Raw genomic sequence first — 20,626 nt, forward strand, 5'->3', positions numbered from 1 at the left:
TTCAACAATGTTCACAGCATCTTCACCAAAAGTAGATTTAATCCCAAGAAACTTCGCTCATCCATAAGAAGCAACTCCTTAGCCATTCAAATTTTATCATGAGATTGCAGCAATTCAGTCACATCTTTAGGCTCCACTTTCCAATTCTAGTTCTCGAGCTATTTCCATGTCTGCAGTGACTTCCTCCACTGAATTCTTGAACCCTCAGAATCATCCATGAGGGTTGGAATCAACTTCCTCCAAATTTCGGTTAAAGTTGATATTTTGATCTCCAATGAATCACGAACGTTCTTAATGGCATCTAGAATGGTGAATTCTTTCCAGGTTTTCAATGTACTTTGACCAGATTCCTCAGAGGAATCTCTGAAAGCTATAGCCTTACAACATGTATTTCTTTTCTTTCTTTTTCTTTTTTTTTTTTTTTTTGAGATGGAGTTTCGCTGTTGTTGCCCAGGCTGGAGTGCAATGGTGCACTCTTGGCTCACTGCAACCTCCACCTCCCAGGTTCAAGCAATTCTCCTGCCTCAGCCTCCTGAGTAGCTGGGATTACAGGCACACACCAAGCCTGGCTAATTTTTGTATTTTTAGTAGAGACGGGGTTTCACCACGTTGGCCAGGCTGGTCTTGAACTCCTGACCTCAGGTGATCCACCCACCTTGGACTCCTAAAGTGCTGGGATTACAGGCGTGAGCCACTGTGCTTGGCCTACAACATGTATTTCTTAAATAACAAGACTTGAAAATCAAAATTACTCCTTGATCTGTGAGGTGCAGAACGGATGTTGTGTTAGCAGGCATGAAAGCAACACTAATCACCTTGTACATTGCCATCAGAGTTCTTGGGTGACCAGGTTGTCAATGAGCAGTAGTGTTTTCAAAGGTATCTTTTTTATTTTTTTATTTTTTTTCTGGAAAGCAGGTCTTAACAATGGACTTAAAATATTCAGTAAACCATGCTATAAACAGATGGGCTGTCATGCAGGCTTTGTTGTTCCATTGACAGAGCATGGTAGGGTAGATTTAATATAATTCTTAAGGGCCCTAGAATTTTTGGAATGGTAAAGAAGCACTGGCTTCATCTTAACACCAGCTGCATTAGCCCCCAATGAGAGCCTGTCCTTTGAAGCTAGGCATTGACTTCTCTCTAGCTATGAAAGTCCTAGATTGGTCCTTCTACCAATATAAGGATGTTTCATCTGCGTTGAAAATTTGTATAGATTTTCATCAATGATATTAGCTAAATCATCTGGATAACTTGCTTCTTCATCAGCACCCCCTTGCACTTTTATTAGAGATGGCTTCTTTCCTTAAACATCATGAACCAGGCCGGACGCGATGGCTCACGCCTGTAATCCCAACACTTTGGGAGGCTGAGGCGGGCGGATCACGAGGTCAGGAGTTTGAGACCAGCCTGGCCACCATGGTGAACCCCTTCTCTTCTTAAAATACAACAATTAGCCAGGCATGGTGGCAGGCGCCTGTAATCCCAGATATGCAGGAGGCTGAGGCAGGAGAATCGCTTGAACCCAGGAGGTGGAGGTTTCAGTGAGCTGAGATCGCACTTTTGCACTCCAGCCTGGGCAACAAGAGCAAAACTCTGTCTCAAACAAAAACAAAAACCAAAACCATCATGAACCAACCTCTGCTAGCTTCCAACTTTTTTTTTTTTTTTTTTGGCAGCTTTCTTGCCTCTCTCACCTTTACAGAATTGAAGAGCTTTAATGCCCTTCTCTGGATTAGGTTTTGGCTTCAGGGAATATTGTGGCTGATTTGATCTTCTATCCAGACCACTGCACCTTTCTCCTTATCAGCCATAAGGTTGCTTGCTTTCTTATCATTCATATGTTCACTGAAGTAGCATCCTTAACTTCCTTCAATGACTTTTCCTTTGCTTACACAACTTGGCTGCTTGGCACAATAGTTTCAGCTTTCAGCCTCTCTTGGCTTTTGACATGCCTTTTTCACTAAGCTTAATCATAGCTAGCTTTTGATGAAAGTGAGAGACTTGAGACTCTTCTATTCACTTGAACATTTAGAGGCCACGGTAGGGTAACTAATTGGTTTAATTTCAATATTGGTGTGTCTGAGGGAATAGAAGTCTCAAAAAGAGGGAGAGGGGGGAATGGCCATTTATTGGAACAGTCAGAACACACAGAACATGTATTAACTATCTTATATGGGTGTGGTTTGTGGCACCTCAAAACAATTACAGTGGTAACATAAATGACTACTGATCACAGATCACCATGGACAGATAGAATGAGATTTTAAAAGTTGGAAATATCGCAATTACCAAAATGTGACACATGAAGTTATCACCTGCTGTTGGAAAAATGGTACTGACAGCCTTGCTGGATGCATGGTTACCAGTTATCTGCAAAGTGCAATAATGCAAAGCACAATAAAATAAAGTGTGCCTGTACTTCTTTTTATTAGTAAACATGTACTTTTAAAGCAATTCACAATTTATAGCAATACAATAGTGTGTTGTAAAAACATTAAAAGTCCTTCTGCTAAGGGTTCAGAAAACCTCACACTTAACAACAATCAGGTCATGGCCGCAAGACACAGCTTGTCTGGAAGCTACACATTAAATGATGTATTCTATTTAGGGACTAAATATAAAAGCCAAAGTTGAGCCATGAATACAGAGGACAGTATACAAATGAGATTATCACCACTGGCTATTTGAACAGAATTAGACCTCACAGATAATTTAATCAACCTTTAAAACTTTACAGATGAGGAAAATGAAGCTCTGAGATACGACTTTGCTGGGGTTCCTCTACTTCCTGTCAGGAATGAAGGTCAAATTCCCATTTCCCAACTCCAGGCCAGTTCATTACACTGTGCTGCCAGTATGTCTAACCAATTAGGTAGAAAGGTATTTCATTGAATGACTTCCACCATTCTTTTCCCAAAGACTAATCAGTAAGTGGTAAATGTGTTAAATTTACCACACATTGATTACAAACACGAAGTACTATATTGCAAGGAACAGAGGTTTTGTGCTTTGGTCTTTAATCTTACTTCCGTTAAATACTGGGGAATCCTGGGTCATAAAATTGGTATTATTACAAAAGAGAAATAAGTAAAGAGTGGTTGCTGAAAGGTAATTTTTCTTGGCTGGTTCTTCTAAGTATATACTAGGTATTGTTATTAGCAGACTTCATAAAGAAAAGGTTATCAGGAATTTTTTTTACCTTCCTTCCTCAACTTAGAAATTTATTATATACAAAATCATTTTAACAAAACATCTTAGGGAGAAATTAACACAAAATTACAAATCACTCCATGTGCTTAATTTGAAATGTTATGGCCTTATGTATTCATATCTAATGGTCTTCATGCTAAAATTGGGATTCTTAGTCAATAAAAATGCATGCCAATCTGACAAAATTTCTAGGAAAACTGCAATAACCTTCTTTCCATCATTCCTTTTTTCCCAGAAATTGCACATTTTTGAGAAAATATTTATGCAAAGTGTTCCACTGAAATGTATCTCTTACGAAAGTATCTGAATAGTGAAGTATTTATCACTCATCACAGTAACTTACGGTAAGAAATCAATAAAATTGTTTTATTAAATGTACACATAAAAAGGCATATAAGTTTTTGACCTTCAGTTGTTTTGGAATTAAATTACATTTCGGCACCCAAATATCTTTTAACTGACAGTTTTCACACTTTGCAAAACACACAGGGCACTGGAAACTCTAATGAACCAGCATTTACATAATGGTATCTGCCATATGACCACTTTGGTAAGCAGCTTGTTGAGATTATGTACTAAGTGCTTTATGTGATGCCAAAAAACTTTAAAAAGCAAATAATAAATCATGAGGCTCTACAAAATAGCTTAGAAAAACAAGTTTTCTATTTATTTAAAAATAAGTTTGTAGTTACTACATTGCAGGGACAGGTATTCTTACACATACATTCTAGTTTGTATAAAAGGATTCAAAGAATTATGCATCAAAACTAACATAGAAAGTGTCCACGTAACAGTAAAGAAAGGTCCAATCAGTATGTACAAAAAGAAAGGGCACTGCTATTCTGGTGTGAAACTGCTGTTTATAATATGATACTCCAGGTTCGGAAGGAAAAAAACAAACTTCAATAAAGCTAAATAATTAATTTGTTTTAAAACTCTGTGTTACTTATTACATACAACAGATCTGCTTGTGTTTAAACATTGTTTTCTGTACAAAATAAGCATAATCTTAATTTGAAAATGTGTCAGTTTCAACTTTCACCCTCTAGGTCAGTTACTTTTTAAAAATTGAGCTACATTCTACACATGTCTAAATATCCTGTGACAGGATTTAAGTTTTCTAAAAGATCTTCAGTAAGACCCCTGTCTTCTTGCAGTTTTAATATGGTCCAAAAATGTAACTTTGTATTGTCTCATGTTATAGTCTATCATTGTGACTAATCAACACACACAATCTTAAAGTAACCAGCATGTGTGCATCTGCCTTATATGCATGTACTATATTCCATCTTGAACCTATTTTCTTGGCTCCTTGAATTGTAGAAACTCAGCCATGCACTAAGTATTTGGTCTGTGCCATAAGGTTAATTTCCTGATAATTTTTATCTGCATTAAAAAAGTATTTCAACACAGAGCTATCAAAACTAAAAATAATATCTATTTATAGCTCATATTTTCTACTCACTGTTCTACTGCAGTGTGTACAAGGTTTATCTCTGGAGCGCCAAAAGTGGTACTTACAGTCTTCTGACTCAATTTGACCTTTTCTTGGGTACTATACATAGTTCGTAATGACTTTTCATTTGGAGCAAACTTTGCTCAGTATAATTAACAAAAATAGTTTCTTAGTAAATGTAATATTAATTTTAGTTCAGATCACTTGGAAATTAGGGGAACTAAGGGAAACTGCAAGGGTAGAAGCAAAGAAAAGTGTATTTTTCAAATTTTAATGGGAAAATAAATTCTTGCCTAAGTGTAACAAAACCACTGCTCAATCTGTTATGTTAGAAATACTTTTTAGGTTAATAGGAGTAATCAGATGATAAAACTACTTCCCCTATTATGACTTTTAAAATCATGTAACTCCTGCATATAAGCAGAACACTTACAGTCCTTTAATCACTCAAGTATCTTGGTCCTTTCAACCTACTCAAAAATAAATTTCAGGTAACAAAAACATTCAGAATATATCCGTTTTCATTAGATAGAAAACTGAAAAAGTTGCTTCTAGCTGACATTTGAGAGAGATATACAGTAGGTATATATGTATAAAATGGAATGTCAGAATTGAAGTAAACATTGTTAACTGGAGAAATTAATTTATATTACAAATCATATCTGAAAACATGTAAATGCTGCTAACATATAAGATAAAAATATTTGAATACATTTCTTAAAATGTCTGATTCCTCTACTGCACTGCAGATGAGGGACAGTTCTAGATGTTAACATACATGCTGCATAAAGATATTTTCTCTGATTACTGTATCTTATGTAATTCATTTCCAAGTGATAACTAAATTTAGTCAATCCCAAGTCTCAGATGTTACCTAATCCAGCTCACAAATATTCCACATACTTATTTACTTGGATTGGAGGAAGACAGTTTTATAATAATGCCAGCAGTCTTTAAATTTGTAGTGAAGTTGTGCAATAAAAACAATTGAAATAAGGCCAATCTTTAGTTTATAATACATGCAGAAAATAGTCCAATGCCACTATAGCAGGTCACAAAGGATAAAATTTTAAAAAGCTATGTATCTATTGCCCAGGGCTGTGAGTCTCTGATTAGACTAAATATTTAAACTAATGCTCCACTGAAACTTTTCATCTGGGACTTGAGAATGTTGGAGTTGAGGGAGAGAATACTAGGGTTGGGTACTTAGAAATACCTAAATTGGTTTACACTTTCCATGCATGTAAGAGTTATATTTCTGAACTTTCAGTAAATTGGAGATGTTTTTATTGCTTACCTAAGACAACTGCCAATATTTCTTTCTGGCCTATTAACAGTACATACATAGTGTTACTGCCTCAAAGAGGATTATTTTCCCAAGTGGTAAAGAAAACAAAAATATGGTGATGACTTAAATTTCTTAATTCAACTTCTGTAATGCATAGAAGCTAAATTATAAAAATATAAAATCTAAATATATTGGTATTACTAATACATGTTTAAGTGTTTCGGTTACAAAGAATCTGATCCAAGTTACTGTGCTTTACTAAGAAACCAGTGTCTAATAATGTCCAAATAAGGTCATAAATATACAGTGTCTGTAGAACAGGAATAATACATTTACATGTTATAGGAAAGATGGTAAATACTCATTTCTTTGCTTGAGTTGGAATTAACACATACACTGTACTAGAGGTATATTCCACTCTAAGACTGTGTACGCTCTTCCTTTTTCTGTACACAACTTAAAACTGTACATTTTTTTTACAAAAATTGATTTTATAGCCTATTATTTTTTTCTTAACACAATGCAGATAACATCAGGAAATTACATATTTCAAATAGATTGCCTTCAAAAGCAACTAATTAATGACAAATTTCAAACATACACTATTATTTTCAAGAATGGTGTAACTGAAAGACTCATTTTTCTATACAATCAAGCCATCCATTTCTGCATTATGAAGAGTTTAACTACTGAATTTTAATTTTATAGTTAAATATATTTGTTAGAAAAAAATAAATATACAAAAAACCTGAAAAATTTGAAATTATTTTTCAACTGCAAAATCTCAGCAATGCAGTCAAGATCTGGAAAATGGTTTACTTAATTTCACAGGAGAATTTCTGTACAAATTTAGTTACAAATGATCTAAAAAGCCCAAATGTATCACTTTTTCATTCTTCACGACAGTTAAATGACAGCTAATATTTATCCTTATCAGAAATAATTATGTAATGTATTTTGCCAAGGTTCAATTGCAGACTTTATTTTTCTACATCAGGGTCATGCTGATACATATTTTCCCCATCCTCACTTTTTAAAAATGTAGTATCTGAAAATTTTGATTACATTTTTGTACCATACCAGTCCTCAGAAAATACTACATTCTTTAAATTTTTAAAAAAATGGACAGTAATTTTTAAACAATAGAAATGGTAAGTATGTTGGTTTTTAAGGTATAAAATAACTAACTGTACCATAAACAAATAAATAACTGCTTTCCTTTTCCATAGCAGTACATATAGCAATACATTCTCCTAAGTCATATAGTTATCATTTACAATAGACAACTTAATTTTACTAATGATGCAAAAAATAATAGAATACAAGGCACAATCATTAAATGGAGTTTTTCTTTAGGGTGTATATTGACATACCAGCATGATAAGGATACCGTAAAAAGTGCAGAAAAAACACAATGTGCAATGAGACCACTGTATAAAACATGATTGCATAAAAAGTGATTTGGCCTATTTTAACCTTTAATAATTGAAAATAACCAATTTCCCCCTTAAAATTAAACTATAAAGTATGACATTTTAAAATTATTTTTATTCTACTGCTATCTAAAAAATCCTGAAAAAAGAATTTATACCTGGGTAATAGTATATAAGTATGTGTTTGTATATATATTTAATTATACCCATTTATCAATATATACACATACACACACAGACACGTTTCTTTGTAAGTCATTTTAGGCTATTAGATATGTCTAAAGTTTAGAAATGACATTAATCCAGATCAACAAGTAAACATCAAATCCCATACCTTTTTTCCTGTATTTTCCTTGAATCCTTTAACCACTTAAACATTTCCTCTAGAACATCTCTGTCAAAGGACCCACCAGTGCATTATTTTCTATTAGTACCAAAAAAAGATATATCTCAGCATAACTCTTTAATAACTTGCTCTTTAGAATATATAGCCTTTCCAATATTGAAAAGTGTATGCTGTCCTGACGTCAAAAACAGGCTTTCCACTGCACTGATTCTCAGTCTTTGGCACAATAAACAGAGATTGAGTGATATAAGAATCAAGGTCTGAAAAATTAGACAGTCAAATGTTTTCCAATGTGGATATGTTTCCCTTCATCAGTACATTTTCTCTTGTTTGGCAGAAATGGAATAAAGCAAAAGCCTCCTCTAGATACTTTGTAGATGAACATTCTATAATTAAAATTAAACTGTTTAGGGTATCAAATGGTGGAAATTTTATATTTATCTTTTAGAGGAAACATTTCTTAATTCACTGCTACTCTGTATAACATCTATCTTTTAGGGGCATGACTTGTATCAATAGAAATGTACCTCACTTGGTCAAAAATAATTCATTTTAACATGAAATGCTCTATCACTAGGAATATTATGCTCCTAAAGAGTGTAGCAGAATTGTCTTTTCTATAAATAAATCAGGAATTCATTATAGATCAATTTCTTTCGTTTCAAACAGTGAATGAAATGAATGTGAAAATGCATAACCTATCTAAGGGCAATAAATAGCAAACATTTAAAATATATATGTATATATTTATATATATATATATATATTCATTTAAAGAAGTGAAGTGTCTCGTAAGTTTGTTTTTTTTTTTTTTTTTTTTTTTGCAAATCAAATCATAACATTCCCTACTCCACCACAGCAGCAAGGAAGCAGAAGCCTTAGTTCTACTTATTCCTTAACTGTACCTGCTTTATAGATTTTGAAGTAAAATATTTTGGTACAAGTTACCAACCAATTAAATTAGCTTTTGCTTTTTCAGTCAACTTTCGGACTCGTCCTCTACTAGAAGTTCCAAAAGTTAAAGAGGTGTCTTCGAACAACAGCTGCCTTTGCTCCTCTTCAGAGTCATCCTCATTATAGAAAGCTGTCCTTCGACCTTGATTTCTAGTTCTCATGTGGGGTTCAGAGCCTTTGAGTTCTTCAAACTCTTCTTCCTCATCTATAGGATCATCTATCTTTTTTCGGTTACTTCTCCTTAACACTTTGACACTTGCAGGGACTAGGAGATCTGCATCTAATTTTTGTGTCTTCATCTTCCTTTTGGGCTTCCTACCTCCACGATTCTTTTTCTGTAACAAATCTTCCTTTACATTATTAGTTTCAGAAAGAAAATTGCATGTTGAAGAAGGAAGTACTTCATCTCTGATGGGATGCACATTATTTTGCTCTAAATCTTCTGGCTTTGCATACTGTAGCTTTTTGGGCTTTCTACCCCTTTTCTTGTGTATAATTTCACCACTATTGGTATTAACTTCTACTTTAGGTTTCCTTCCAGGTCCCCTCTTCACAAGTTTTGATGGCTGTCCTCCATGGCCATTTACTTGAATGGTTCCTGGTACAAGAGCGTTGTTCTTACAATCTCCTAAAAGGGAACAACAGTACACTTAATATATGGAGTTTCTTTTTTTGTTTGACTCTCAAACTTGTCAGTAAGGCCCCATTGGTATACTTATATGTAATGACATAATCCAAATTATTTTATTAAAATGAGAAAAAAGAACCTAGAAAACACTAATAGTTCAATGATCTTATTTATTTTCTAATTAAAAGAGACAGATTCTTAACGATCTCATGAGGGAGGTAAAGCTCATAGAAAATAAGTGACTTATCTAAGTTAACATTGTGATTGAGTATAAAGCTGGGATGACTAAAGGTTTCTTATTCCTAACTTAGAAATAAGTTACTCTTGGTCAAAAACTTTGTTCTTAGAACTGTTTAAAGAGGATTTAAAAACAACTAAATGGCAGTTTTCACAGGCTTTGAAAAGTCCTATCTCCTTGTGTAATAAATGGCAAATGACTATAATCCTAGGAAATACTGATTATATATATATATCAATCAAAATCACTATGTGTGCCACCATTATCATGATTAAGATCCCACTGTAACAAACTCCATGATAAAAGGCCATTATGCTTCATAAAACAGGAGAGAAAATCTGGCAATCAAATTCTAAACCTGAAGGATCTGGAGATGATGAATTACCTTTCTGTTGTAGAAAAAAATGCTATAACTTAGATAAAGGAAAAATATGCCACAGGAACTACCAGTAACTAACTCTCTTTCCCTCCAAATTTCTGACATGTTTTTATTTGATATGGTAGGTGATTTGCAATGCTCTATTTTTGAGGAAATTCATAGATGGAAACTGCTTTTAAAGAGAATACATCTTCATAACAGCATTTTTGGTCACAGGTTGGAACTGTACTTTGTAAATAAGAAAATCATGGTTGGTCGGGTGCAGTGGCTCACGATTATAATCCCAGCACTCTGGGAGGCCAAAGTGGGCGGATCACCTGAGGTCAGGAGTTCGAGACCAGCCTGGCCAACATGGCGAAACCCCGTCTCTACTAAAAGTACAAAAAGTAGCTGGGCGTGGTGGTGGGTGCCTGTAATCCCAGCTACTCAGGGGGCTGAGGCAGGAGAATCCTTTGAACCCAGGAGGCGGAGGTTGCAGTGAGCTGAGATCACGCCACTGCACTCCAGCCTGGGCGACAAGAGGGAGACTCCATCTCAAAAACAAAACAAAACAAAACAAAACAACATGGTTAAGAGACTTACCAAAGGTCAGAGCCAAGTACAGACAGAAAATGCAAAGCTTTTAATTCCTGACCCCCATAGTGAAATGACTCTCTTTAGATTAGTGGTTGGGAAAAAATGTGGGTGTGGACATAAAGTAGTTAAGTATTTCCTATGGAGCAACTGACATTTAAACTGCCCAGGGATTCTGTCAATCTCTTTTGTTTTACATTATGACTACAAGGGTTCTAAATATCCAGTACATGTACCTACTACAGAAGATAGGCTTTAAGGACTACATGAATCCCTTGTAATGGTCCCAAATTTTGTATGGATATGTTTATGTACATTTTTCTGAGACAGGGACTATAGGACTCATCAACTTTATAAAGCAATATATAATGTAAAAAGGTTAAGAATGAATGCAGCTTTCTTAAAAAGGAATTCAGAAGTTTTTTAAAAAAGTTTAAAAACCACTGATATTGAACGGTGTTGTCCTGGGCACATGAAAAGTTATGCAGCTTAGGAACTAAATTTTTATTTAAATTTCAATTTAAATACCAAAGCAGTATACATTTTAAAATACTGATTAAATACTGAAATAACATTTTGGATATAATGGGATAAATAAAATATTATTAAAATTAACTTTACCTGTTTTTACTGAACATGGTGAGTACAAAATTTAAAATTACATATATGGCTTGTATTATATTCCACTAGACAACACTGCTTGATTCTAAATAGTTAATTTAGGTGTCATTATTTGTAATAAAACACTGTTAATGTTAACTAATAGATAATGATATTTCTATACAGTACCAGTACTCGAGTATTTGTAATACTCAAAAATTAAAAATCAAACAGGTTATGATACCAGACCTCCGCTATCATAATGCTAGAACCAATTCATCATATATATTTGATTTCTCTAGGATTCATGAATAAAAAGAAGCAAGGCCAATATACTATTCAAACTCTAAATTCAGTTCAGAAAGGGGGCAGATTATTAAAAATGTGAAACACTCATATGCAAAGCATTTTGGTTATTCAAACACTTATTATCTTCTGTATAATGGGCATTAAAAATGAGTAAACACATTAAGCTCAGATTCTTTGGAGATACAGACATGTGAAAATGAATAATATGATCAACATTATAAGTACCACCAAAGGTAATGAACAGGGTTTTCTGGGACATAAAGATGGAAGTGCTTGGCTGGGCGTGGTGGCTCACATCTGAAATCACAATACTTTGGGAGGCCGAGTGGGGTGGATCACCAGAGGCCAGAAGTTTGAGACCAGCCTGGTCAAAATGGTGAAATCCTGTCTATATCAAAAATACAAAATCAGCCAGGTGTGATGGCACACACCTATAATTCCAGCTACTTGGGAGGCTGAGGCAGAAGAATTGCTTGAACCGGCAAGGCAGAGGTTGCAGTGAATGGAAATCAGGCCATTGCACTTCAGCCTCGGTGACAGAGCAAGATCCTGTCTTTTTTTAAAAAAAAAAAAAAAAAAAAAAAGGAAGTGCTTGATTCTATCTAAAGAAGCCAGGAGAAGACTTCCTAAAGAAGACGATATTTTAAGTGAGACGTGAAAGGCAACAGACAATTAAACTAGGAGGGAAAAAAAGACATTCCCCCAAAAGGAGAAAAGAACAAAGACTCAGGAACTTCTAAGTGTTTAGGATGACTGGGATACAAAAGAGAGAAAGAAGGTAAAAGAACCTGGAATGTTAGGCAAGAGCCAAGTAATAAAGAGTCTTGTGTAACAGGCAAAAAATTTAAAATGTTTCCATATATGATTTGAAGGCAAGGAAGTGTTTTCTCTGTGTGTACGTACACACATCCACATGTGCTAGAGAGAAATAAAAAGATCGCTTTGGCTGCAATATGAGAGAGGGACTGGTTAAGAAAGAGTTGAGAACTGAGGCAGGAAGACCAGTTAGGAAACTAGGAAAATAGTCCAAGCAAGAAATTATGTAGGCCTTGAAATAATGTCATGGAGGTGAGAATGGAGAGGAGAGAATAGATTTAAGAGATGTTATGGAGGGAGAAACAACAAAAACAAAAAGCTGTTGAACAGATTCAGTTGCTGAAGAGAAGGCTAGGATGACTCCCTGATTTTAAGTTTACACGGGTAGATCCCAATGCCATTAACAAAAATAAGATTTCAGTAGAGAAATTAAATTTTGAGAGAGGTTTCTGAAGACAACAATGAAGAAATGTCTTAGACACACTTTGAAAGTCATGATGCAAAATGCTTATTATTGGGCTGTCTGCTGCCAAGAAGCCATATTATTTTAACATGTCACATGGCATATTTTATTATTTACCTTCTTCATCTTTCAAACATAAAGACTTTACAATAAAAACCTGGAGGTGAAAGAACTTGAAGTGTAACAGTAAGGTGTCAAAAGTTGTATTCTACAGTTGTAGACAACCCCAATGAATTATTATTTAGTAAAAGTCAGTCTAGAAAAATAAGTAGTTTTGTGATCCAATAATTACTTAAACATTTTTCTAGAAAAGTGAAGAATGCTACATTGGGTTAACTATACCCTATTTAATTTAAACTTTGAAGATTTATTTCTTTTTTTTTTTTTTCTTTTGAGACAGGGTCTCATTCTGTTTACCAGGATGGAGTGCAGTGGCACAATAATAGCTCATTGCAGTAAATTTATCAACTAATACAGATGTGTGACTTTTAAGTGGGCAACCTGAAAAGTGGATATAAATGCTGATTCCAACAAAAGCATTATTTATAATAAGGATCTACTGTATCTTGAAAGATACAAGTAATACCTTACCTTGCTCAATGACAGCTGATGACTTTGAAAGAGTGGACGCCTTTGGGAGTACAGATGACTTCATTTTACGTTTGACTGGCTTTTCCTTTTCCATGTTTTCTTTTGCAGAATTATTCCTAGTGCCATGACTAAAACTGGATTGACCAGGACTGGAAAGAGTATTCAAAGCTTTGGAATGTTTCACAGAATTCTCTAGTACTAAAACATACAAACAAAATTTAAAAATTAAGAGTTATTGAACCTAAAGATAAGAAAAAAGGTTAACCTGAATTATTTGAATTAGCCAAGACAACAAAACCTGAAGGATGCTTAAAGCTTTCTTAGGAAAGCTACTTTCTAATAGGAAAAAGGCGTATCCAACTAGAAACTCTTAATAGTTTCAGCCCTTTTAGAAGCTGTCCCATCATTTCAAAATTTCGAAGGCAAGTCTTGGCAAATTGCTAGCTAGTGTGGGTACTGTGATTTAAATTCAGGTAGTTTAGATCAGAGTTGCCATTTTTAAGCATTAGTCTATAATGACCTAAACCTCAATTTAATTCTTCTTATTAAAAACTTTTTTTTAAAATAGGAAATTAATAAAGAAGGCAAAAACAACAGTGTCTGCTAGGAATTACTAAAACTCAGTATATTGCATTTGGCAAAGTAAAAGCTTAAATTAAGAAAATCATCATATACATTTCAATTTAGAAAGTGAGTCTTACTTGTTTTCCCTGGTATTGCAGATGCATTAGCTTTTGTAATAAAAGTCTTTGCAGCTGAAGAAGTAGATGGTTGCTCAGTGACAACTGGATCTACAACCACTCGGTTGCTTCTGGTTCGAACCACAGAACTAGATTCTGTTTTACCGTTTATCTGAGCAGCATTGTGTCTTGGCGGTATTGATCGTGTAGGTGTAGAGAATGCAGAGGTAGAGCTTTCTGATTTTAGCTGGGGTTTTAAGATCCTTTTTTTCCTTTCAGGGCTGTAAATAAAATAGTATTGTCAGTCACTCTTATAGCTCTATGTGAACGAATAAAACAGTTTATAATATTTTTGGATTCAATATTTGTACTATTATGAAATATGTTAAAATATGAGATTTATAGTGGATTTCATATGATTGTGAGCCTTTGAAAGTGAATATTTAGTGAAGGATCGCTGTAAATGCTAAAGTTATATGACGGAAAGCATGATGCCATCACTATCCTAAAAATGCTGTTTTACTGTATAGATTTAGCAGTTTGAATTTAAGCACTTACACTAGTATAGCTTTAGTTAAAAGATTAAAAATCCTCCACATCATAGGAACTTGCATGTCAAATTATCATTCTGCAATATAGGGAATAGTAAAGGAAGTATTAAAAAACACCAAGTTCTATCATTTAGATGAAAGTTATAGATCAGCTAGTGGTATTTAAAAGAAATTAAATACCTTGATGCAGCACTACTGGAAACAGAGCTGCTTCTGTTTCTTTTCTTCCTCCTTTTGGTTATGGTATTTCTTTTATGAAAACGAAGAGCAGATTTATAATCTGATAAAACTGAACTAATGTGTTCTTCAAAGAAAGCAGACAGGCGCAAACTCATGCTGTAAATCTGTGAGGGAAAAAAAAAAGTGTTCAACCATTCCTTGGAGGAAAATACCTTTGTTCAGTAAATACTGTAATGTAAATATTTTTCCAGTAAAAAATATTTAGAATTTAATTATTGTTTTTTACATCCCTTTTTCCTAATCTTTTGATGAAAAGGTAAACTGAAGCATTTTAACAATTATGTATTTTTGTGTTTAGAACAGAAATCTTCCAAGTTTTGAGATTCTTAAAGAAAAGTCCGACTCTAAATTCAAATGGCTCATACAGACAAAACTTATTGTCAACTTTATTACACTGAAACTATCCCAAATGTTTGAACCTGTTTTCTATCTAGGACTAGCATCTATTCTTTCTCATTTCGTTGCTATATAGCACTCCTTTGTGATGTCATGTCTGGTCAGAGTGTTAAATTATATTTTTACTTATTTGTAAAAATCTTCGCAAAAATGCTCCACAAGGCAGATAATAGCTAGAAAACTCAAGGCCAGATGGCTCTGGTGCATACCAGGACAATTTGCATCAACCGCACTACTTCAAGAAAAGTAACCATTCCCAGACATCAAAGATAACATCAATGTTATTTCATACAAGGAGCTGAGTAGAAAGGTATAATTTCTTTTTCCAGTAGGACAACATTAAGAATGTAACAGAAAGTTAACTTTGACCTAAATTTTAAGTAAAGCAACATTTAGTCATTTAACACACTCCTCTAACTTAATCTAGTCATAAAAGAAAATAATGTAATTATATACCCTTGATCTTTTGCTTGGTGTATATGCTTTGGAATTACTGAAAATAAGTCTGACATCTTTACATAACTCCATTGGTGACTCATAATTCCCAGCCTCTAAAGTTTCTCTAACGGTAGCAAAATCCATTGGAGTGTCAATGATGTCTCTGTAGTCCTAGGAGAGGGAAAACAGGTGGTGTTATGATTATTACTACACAAAGCATCACTTCTCAGTGCAGGGATTCGCACAGGATTTTTATGATGACTGCAAGTCCTAGAACTCTTAATAATCACTCCTGTTCCCCTTATCAAGAGTCCCTTTTTTCTAATAATTCTTATTTATTTCATACTCCCCCCCCTTATACTGCAATCAACAATAATTTTCTTATTCAAGAACACAGAAGTTATTAATTTTTCACTGGAGACTTGGGAGATGGAGTTGTATTGGAAAAGGGAAAGTAAAAGAGTAAGGAAAAAGCCCAGCTCTACAACCGAAAGTTTGAAAGAAAAACTCAAAACTTTATACTACTTATAAATTCTAAAGGTCTGACTCATTAAAACACAACTGTAACTTTAAGGAAATAAAAACAATGGAAGTATGCCAGCATCCCATTTATGCAGACACCTAAGTTCTAGTAATCTCAACTTCAGTACTAAAATTGGGAGTTTTGCTTTGCAGTAATAAAGAATTACGAATGTAAATAGTTGTCACAAAGTCTATGCATGTCACCTGAGATGTCTACCTAGTCAATAGAGTATAAAATTAGGTAACAGATTGGAACCAATAAAAACACACACGTGAAACAGGAAGAGCAACAGAAAATTATCATAATATGGTATATAATTCTAAAATTATCAGAATATGCTATTTTTTTTTAGCAGGGACAAAGAGTATTGTACCCCCCCTTTTTGGGAGACACAGTCTTGCTGCTGCCCAGGTTAGAGTGCAGTTGGTGCCATCAAAGCTCACTGCATCCTTGGCCTCCCAGACTCAAGCAACCTTCCCACCTCAGCCTCTCAAGTAGCGGGGACTACAGGCAGGCGCTACCACACCCAGCTAATTTTTATAATTTTTGTAGAGACGGGTCTTAGCATGTTGCTGAGACTGGTCTCAAACTCCTGGGCTTAAATGACCTGCCCGTCTTGACCTCCCAAAGTGCTGGGATTATAGGCATTAGCCACCACACCTGGCCTGCAGCTTTTCAACAGTCCCTCAGTATGCGACTATATTTTTTGAAGTGTAACAACTTGACTTTGCACCATCAAGTTTAAATTATGATCAAATACGTCTGACCATGAAGAAGGTGTCCTATAAGGTAGGATTACTGCCTTTACAAATTTTTATTTCTTCCTTTCCAATAGTTATGCCTTTTATTTCCTTTTCTTGCCTTATTGCATTGGCTAGAATTTCCAGTACTACATTGAATAGCAGTGGTGAGAGTGAACATTTTTCAGTCATTCCTAATTCTTAGGGGGAAAGCACTCAGTCTGTCACCAGTAAACATGATATTAGCTGTAGATGTACTTTTTATAGATGTACTTTATCAAGTTGTGGAAGTTTTCCTTTGTTCCCGGTTTTCTTAGGGGTTTTATAATGAATTAATGTCTCACTTCTTCAGATTCTGCATTTGTCTATTTGCCATCTATTCACAGGCCAATGATGATCTGGTACCTGGGGGGCCTTACAGACCTGGGAAAAGATTGCCCCTTCCTGGGCAGTCTTAGTGAGGGGTTCCACTGAGAACATGTCTTTCATATACATACCAATGAATCCCAAGTATAAAGCCACAATCAGCTCCTTTTCTCACTCTCACACACTAAGCCAGTATTTCCCTGTTTTAAATCATCTCAGAGCTGGGACCAGACAACTAGATACCTGTGCCCCAGGGCCCACTGGAATTATTCAAACTAGCCAATAATAAGCTGTTAACTGTGACCTGCCTTGCATTTCCTGCAGAAACCCCAATAAAGGATTTCTAAGCTTTTCCCTGGTTTTGGTCTCTCCTACCCAACCAAAACCTAGCACTTCCCCTGTGGCCCTGTGTGGCATGTGGTAAGCCCCGACTTTTCTGGGACTCTTTTTTACTTTTTTTTTTTTGTTGTTAATGAGATAGGGTCTCACTCTATTGCCAGGCTAGAGTTCAGTGGTATCATCTTGGCTCACTGCAATGTCTACCTCCCAGGCTCAAGCAATCCTCCCACCTCAGCCTCATTAGTAGCTTGAACTATAGGTGCACGCCACTGCACCCGGTTAATTTTTGTATTTTTTGTAAAGACGGGGTTTTGCCATATTGCTCAGACTGGTCTCAAACTCCTGAGCTCAAGTGATCCACCTACCTTGGCCTCCCAAAGTGCTGGGATTACAGGTGTGAGCCACCATGCTTGGCCTGGGACTCGAGTATAATAAACTTTTTCCTTCCAAGCCTTGTTTTCATTTCCTCCTGTGACCGCACTGACTTTACCATAACCAAAATACACATTCACAGAACAAATGGGTGTGAAATTTTGTCAAATGTTCTTTCTGGATTACTTGATATAATCATGAGATTTTTCTTCATTAGCCTATTAATATGATGGATTACACTGACTGGTTTTTGAATACTGAACCATCCTTGTATCTCTGGAATAAACAGCACTTGGTCATGGTATAAAATCATTTTTTAATATATTCCTGAATTCTATTTGCTGTTATTTCGTTAAAGGTTTTTCTTCTTTTCTACTCTTATTGTCTGGTTTTGAGATCAGGGGAACACTGGTCTTCATAGAGTGAGTTGGGAATTTTGAGTTTTTCTATCTTCTGGAAGAGATTGTGTAGAATTTGTGTTAATTCTTTAAATGTTTGGTTGAATTCTCCAGTGAAGCCATCCAGGACTAGACATTTGTTTTTTGAAAACTTATAATCACAAATTAAATTTCCTTAATAGGGTTACTGAGTTATTTGCTTCATACTGGGTGAGTTGTGGTAGTTTATACTTTGAATATCGGTCTATTTCATGTAAGTTATCAAATTTATATATGTAGAATTCTTTGTAGTATTACTTATTTTTACTTTATTATCCTTCTGGTATTTGCAGGGTCTACAGTGATATGCTCTATATCATCTCTGATATTAACAATCTGTCTTCTCTCTTTATAAGCTGTGTAAATCTTAACAGAGGCTTGTCAATTCTGTTGATCTTCTCAAAGAACCCAGCTTTCAATTTCATAGATTTTCTTTATTGTTTTTCTTTTTTGAGTTTCACTGATTTCAGCTCTTTATTATTTCCTTTTGTTGGCTTACCTTTGGGTGATTTTACTCTTCTTTCTCTAGGTTCTTGAGGAGTGAGCTTCGATTATTGATTTGAAACTTCTCCTTTTCTGCTGTACTCTTTAGTACATTTTAGTATTAGAAATTTCCCTGCATTGCTTTAACTGCATCCTACAAATTTTGATATACTGAATTTGTTTTAATTGAGTTCAATGCATTTTTTAAATTCCCATGAGATTTGTTTGATCCATAGATTATTTAGAGGTGGGCTCTTTCGTTAACAAGTCCTTGGAGATTTTACATTATTGGCTTTACAAACTTTGTGGATTTGGGCAAAATATAAAAATGATTTTTTAAAATGTTTTGCAATATTTTGGTTAATGTAAATTTTATTTATGTAGAATACTTAATTTTTCTTGGCTCATATCTTGGGCTTACACCATGTAGTATAGTACATAATAGCTGCTCAATACAATTCTGTTGAATAAATGAACGTTGTAGAATATTAAGCCCATTCATTTCCATTAAAAATTTAATTTTTAACATCTTGCTTTGAATATTTGATTAAACTCAAAATGTGAACCAATATTTTCATATAAAAGATGAAATATGAAGTGCATGATCTGCCTTAAATATTCCACTAAAGGATGATACAGTTAATTCTGAATTATAAAAAGTAGATTATCCGAAGTTTTCTTTTTCTCTTCTGTGACAGTAATTAACAAAACAACAAACCTCCATCATGGAGTACTGCAAGAGGCAAGAGATTACATTTTTCTTATTTCTACTACTTTTTGTTGCCTAACACGTTTAGCTGGTGGGACAGGTTCTAAGTATTTGCTAAATATTGTTCTCATTATTTTGAACATGTAAAAGATGACTGCATTCTTATATATTTCCCTTTTAAGTTTGAAAAGTGAACTACTTTCTTTATATAAAAATTCATTTGCCTATTGTCTCAGAATATCACATATAACTGGTGCACTGGACATAAGGGATACGGGTTCCCATTGTGGCTTTGTCTATAAATAGCTACAAATAAATAGCTATAAATAGTTTTGTCTATAAATCTTAGAGTGATGAGTATCAGTTCAACATCAGTAAAGTGAGTGGCTTGGAGCAGTCTCAGGTCTCCTCCATTTTTTCTGTATGACTGTTTCAATATTTTCTTTTTGACTTTCAATTGTTGAGTTTTTTTCACTCTTATTCTAGGTAAAGATTCTTTTCTTGTATATCCCGATCAGGAATCATAGCTTCTCAAATGTTTACCAATTCTAGAAAATTCTTGGCCATCGGGCATGGTGGCTTATGCCTGTAATCCCAGCACTTTGGGGAGGCTGAGGCAGGCAGATCACAAGGTCAAGAGATTGAGACCATCCTGGCCAACATGGTGAAACCCCACCTCTACTAAAAATATACAAATTAGTTGGGCGTGGTGGCATGCGCCTATAATCCCAGCTACTCGTGAGGCCGAGGCAGGAGAATCGCTTGAATCCAGGAGGCAGAGTTTGTAGTGAGCCGAGATTGAGCCACTGCACTCCAGCCTGGAGACAGAGTGAGACTCTGTCCCAAAAAAAAAAGAAAAAAAAAAAAGAAAAAAAAAAAGGAAAAAAAAATTCTTGGCCATTAGCTCCTCAAATATTGCTCCTCTCCCATTCTGTCTATTCTCTTCCACTGAAATTTTTGTTAGACATATTTTGGACCTTCTCTTTCTATCTACCACTACCTCTTACCCTCTCCTTCACACTCTTAATCTCTTTATCATTCTGTGTGGGATTCTATAGAATTTGC

The 20,626-nt window shown here is 34.8% G+C and overlaps 2 protein-coding genes across 8 annotated transcripts in view; one reads left to right on the forward strand and one right to left on the reverse strand.

Moving 5' to 3' along the window:
- The window catches only part of IRAK1BP1 (interleukin 1 receptor associated kinase 1 binding protein 1), a 111,861-nt gene that overhangs the window by 64,462 nt on the left and 26,773 nt on the right, over positions 1–20,626 (forward strand). For 4 of the 5 annotated variants that reach the window (XR_942279.3, XM_006715336.4, XM_011535448.3 and 1 more), the window contains one exon: positions 3,449–3,893. Coding sequence is in view for 1 of the 5 variants with exons in the window: in XM_047418194.1 (XP_047274150.1) it covers positions 3,449–3,520 (72 nt within the window). In the remaining 4 variants the exon portion in view is untranslated. Of the gene's footprint in view, positions 1–3,448; positions 3,894–20,626 lie in introns of those variants that run through there. The other variant, XM_047418194.1, reaches the window with a different exon arrangement.
- PHIP (PHIP subunit of CUL4-Ring ligase complex) overlaps positions 2,407–20,626 on the reverse strand; it is a 143,836-nt gene continuing 125,616 nt past the window's right edge. For all 3 annotated transcript variants that reach the window (XM_005248729.6, NM_017934.7, XM_011535918.4), the window contains 5 exons: positions 15,611–15,763; positions 14,699–14,862; positions 13,989–14,248; positions 13,288–13,485; positions 2,407–9,318 (listed from right to left, as the gene is read on the reverse strand). In XM_005248729.6, the coding sequence (XP_005248786.1) occupies positions 8,681–9,318; positions 13,288–13,485; positions 13,989–14,248; positions 14,699–14,862; positions 15,611–15,763 (1,413 nt within the window). In that variant the 3' untranslated portion in view covers positions 2,407–8,680. The remainder of the gene's footprint in view (positions 9,319–13,287; positions 13,486–13,988; positions 14,249–14,698; positions 14,863–15,610; positions 15,764–20,626) is intronic.

Source organism: Homo sapiens, chromosome 6 (assembly GCF_000001405.40).
Source record: "Homo sapiens chromosome 6, GRCh38.p14 Primary Assembly".
NCBI classification, from domain to species: Eukaryota; Metazoa; Chordata; class Mammalia; order Primates; family Hominidae; genus Homo; species Homo sapiens.